We start from the raw sequence: 4,076 nt of genomic DNA on the forward strand, positions 1-4,076 counted from the left end.
TTTGAACGTCATTGCATTAGTCCCATTGAAGTGACTTTTTTTAGTCAAAATTAGTCCCTGTGTGGCATGTATTAGCAGGGCTTATTAATCTAAATTAATGAAAATATGTTTGGGGATGTTGGTTTATTACCGAATTACATGAAATCAAATTTTTAATAAATTTAGAAAGCCATGTGTTTCTGAAAGTAGGGCTTATGAGATGCACAGGAAGTTCACTTTTGGAAACAAAAAATAGTCATCTTCGAAAGTCACTAATAAGTAATAACCATTTTTGTTACTCTAGATATGTTATAGTACTGATAGTATGTTGAAAAGAGTCCATGAGTGAGGAAAATAAACAATGGTTTCAACTTAAACCAAAATTAAAAAAAAATCATGGGGTCAAACATTCTGAATTACAGATATTTATCTAGGATCAAACTGTAGTTCTATGGGCAACTTTACAGAGGATGCTTTAGGGTGAGTAGCAATTAGTAGGTATATATTTAACATAGACTAATGAGTCTCTTAAACAACAAACAAGGCCAGCTAACGTTAAATCAAGGTGAAAAATTACATATTAACCAGAAGAAGGCATGTCTAATGGGTTAATGAATATAATCCAAACCCAAAACAAAAGACCTTAAACTTTTTGACTCTTCAGTAGACCTTTAAAAGGATGAGAAACTCTAAAGAGTGATGTTAGCAATAACAAAGAAGGATATTTTACTATGATGGCCACAGGACAGGCTTTGATATCTGGAGATATATCACTAAATTTCCACTGCATTTTGGGCCCATGACAAAAGCTTTAGTGAAACTTACAAGAAGTACAGTAGCCCGACAGCAGTTTTAGTACTTTGAAAAAGGGAAGCAGCATACACTAAACAGTAGCCTAAGTGAAATGTATTTTGTCCCCATTTCAAAGCAGAAAAAAAATATTTTCTGGGAGAAGATGAAGCATGTGAAGATGAACTGGGTAACAGGAAACCTTGTGAGCTAGTACCAGGTAAATGAGCCAAGTAGATGATGTATATATGAAGTCATAGCGTGAAGCCAGTCACTCTTCTCAATGATAAATTCTCACAACATTGTGCAGTTAACTGACTGCAACAGAAGCACAGTGGTTCGGTTTTGTTTAAATGCAGCCAGTCAATAAAATAAAAACACCTAAGAACATGAAATTGTCTGGCTTTATTAGAGGATGATCTGTACATGAAGCATTCTTAAGGAAGATGCAAACTTGCACTGAATATTTTCATGGACAAATATTTTGTCTTTTAAAGTCATTATTTCCTTTCTCTTCCTCTATTCAGCCACTTAATTAGCAATAATATTAAATGCCTTTGGCAGAAAACCCTGTAAAAATTTGTGTTAGATATCAAATAGAATTAAATTTGGAATACATAGTTAATTGCTAAGTGAAAATCTCCATATTATAGTTTAGCAGTGTTCTGATATTGAAAATATGGTCTCTGTCATAAAAAAGTTTATAGGTTAGGTGCAGTCTAAGTATATTTGTTTTTCGAATATGTAAATAACTTGGTACCAATTATGAAAAGAAATAAGATAAAAAGTCACAAAAACACCAAGGCTCGAATTTATTCCTGTATAAGTATTAATTACACATGGTGTCGTACTACTAAACTTTAAAATGAGATACTATTGTGTTGTTTTATTTCAAATACAGCTGTCACTATTTGTATTTTTATGTATCTCTGAAATGAAAACCTTGCCTATCTGTTATTCAATGTATAGGAGACAGATCTATACAACTACAAATACCTGGAATACGAAGGAAGATTTACTTAGTGTGGTAAGTAATTGACATAGTTTTTATCAAGCTCAGTGTTTTTTGTTTGTTTGTTTGCCATGGCTGAGAATGAAGAATAAAAGCAGGCTTTGTGCTATGCAAAAGGACACTGTACTCAAGCCTCTCATGTACTCCTTCTCTCTCTCTCTCTGCCTGCCGCCATCCCCCCTCCAACACACACATAAAAGAGCCTCAATAATGAAAGTTGTAATCTAATGAATTCTTTTCAGCTTTGCTTTAGTTCAACTTGTTGTGGTGGTATGTAGGAGCTGGCTTTTAGCCACTCAAAAAAGCTGATTGTTCAAATTGGAGGAATTTTGAGAGCCAACTGACATCATGTTTGAAACTGACCGTATTGGGAATATTTATAACACAGAAATCAGCAAATGCTACCAATCAGGGTTCTCCCCTCTTTTCCTAGCAACAGATACAAAGACATCACTGGCTATTTGTCACTGTGGATCATGATTTCTTCTTTGAACTCTTTGACTTCTATGAGAGACCTTTTTATTTTTTCAGGCTGTGATCTTCTGTCTAGGCTTGCTCTTTTGTGATTGCCTATAGGAAGTCCTGCTCTTCTACCTTCTTTAAGTGCATCTGTTCCTGAGGGGTTTGTCCTAAGGCTTTTCTATTCTCACTTTATGTTCTTTCCATGTGGGAACTTTGCCACTTCAGTGTCCTTAAATAGCCTGCAACACTTTCTGGAGCTCTAAGACTACTAATTCCATTGCCATCTAAGCAACTCCTCCTATAATTCCTATAGGGGACATCAGTCTCAACCTATACAGAACAGAACACTTCTAATATCCATGTGCTCACCTACGTTACTGATCATGGTGCTTCCTGTTTACAGTCCTCTCTCAGCTTCCCATTCATGAGTATAACCTGCAAACCCATTACCATGCTGTACCAGGCCACACATGGAGTGTCCCCTTTCCACATGTCTTTAGCTTCATTATTTATCATCTATACCTCTTTTCTTAAAACTTAAGTATACTAAGTTACTGAAAATCCTGCTTCTGTACTATAACACAGGGCCAGAGATATGTGCTGGTGCCTGGGAAACAGAGAAGAAGATGCATTGGAAGATGTTTGTCATCAGAGCAAGATATCTAACTTTTGCTGGATTATCTAGTAACTTATCTCATGAAGACCCTGCAAGGTGGGGTTGTTTCAAACCTAAGTCCCTGGAGCAATGTAAAAATACTAGTTACAAAGTTCCAGTACCTGATATGGCCTAGGAGCTACAGGCCTTTGATGGTCTTCAGCAAAGCTTCTTTTACCAGGTAAATAACTAGAGTCTGGGCATCTGTGGGGGTTATTATTCTGCCTACCATGTGTTCCAAAGATACAATTAGGTGGAAGAAAAAGGTACTAGCCTTTAAACTTCAGTTTACTCCTTTCTATTATTGCCAAAGACCTGTTTGGGGAATTTCTACAAAGTCTGTAGCTTCTCTCACCACTCTGTGGCTCCTACCACTAATGGTTTCACAACTTGGTCCTTTCCCCTCATTCCGCATCCTTGGAATAAAGGATACGGAAATTGACTACACTGTGACTGACTTAGACACCATCTCCTTAGATTGTTTGATCCCCAAAGATAGTTTCAGAGCATTATGCCTCCCCAACTCACAGTTAGTGAAGTGCCCTGAGATTTGTCAACTGGCACTTGTCTCCCAGACTTAAAATTCTGACAGACTGTGATTTAACCAACTTTCACTCACCCTATGTTCTCCCTTCTCTATATAACATTTCAGTATCTAGTTTTGTTTTTCCTTCCTTCCTTCCTCCCTCCCTCCCTCCCTCCTTTCCTTCTTTCCCTCCCTCCCTCATCTTTAAAATTAGAAATGATACAAAGTTAATTGGAACAAGACAAAGAAAACAAAATATTTATCCTAAATGAAGTGATAACTGCAATATATGACTACAGAACAGGAGCTAGCAACAGTTCTATAGAACTAGCTAAAGAAAGTAAAAGTCATCTAGACCAAATTCTTATTTGCTTTCAGATTATGCAAGTATAGCTTTTGTTTCTATATTCCTCTAAAAACATTGCACTTTGAAATACTACATAATAATATTTAAATCAATATTTTACTCCTTTACCCTTTAAAAATGATATCCATGTTTTTCTGAAACATCATCTGCTATTTGTCTTCTCCTCAAAAATATTTTCAGAATCAAATAATTTTCTCATCACTTTCATTGCTACTACCCACACATCCATCCTCTTTCCCTTGGGTCACTGGAATACTTCCTGACTGGTGTCTCTGCCTTATGCCTT

The 4,076-nt window shown here is 36.3% G+C and overlaps 1 long non-coding RNA gene across 1 annotated transcript; it reads left to right on the forward strand.

Annotated features, from left to right (window-relative positions):
• The first annotated feature begins 633 nt into the window (after nucleotides 1-633).
• LOC107986239 (uncharacterized) lies at nucleotides 634-3,102 on the forward strand. The gene is made up of 3 exons (XR_001741527.2): nucleotides 634-988; nucleotides 1,738-1,795; nucleotides 2,828-3,102. It is a non-coding gene; the product is annotated as an uncharacterized LOC107986239 (long non-coding RNA).
• The last annotated feature ends 974 nt before the right edge of the window (nucleotides 3,103-4,076 follow it).

The sequence above is a fragment of the Homo sapiens genome, chromosome 4 (assembly GCF_000001405.40).
Source record: "Homo sapiens chromosome 4, GRCh38.p14 Primary Assembly".
Taxonomy (NCBI): domain Eukaryota; kingdom Metazoa; phylum Chordata; class Mammalia; order Primates; family Hominidae; genus Homo; species Homo sapiens.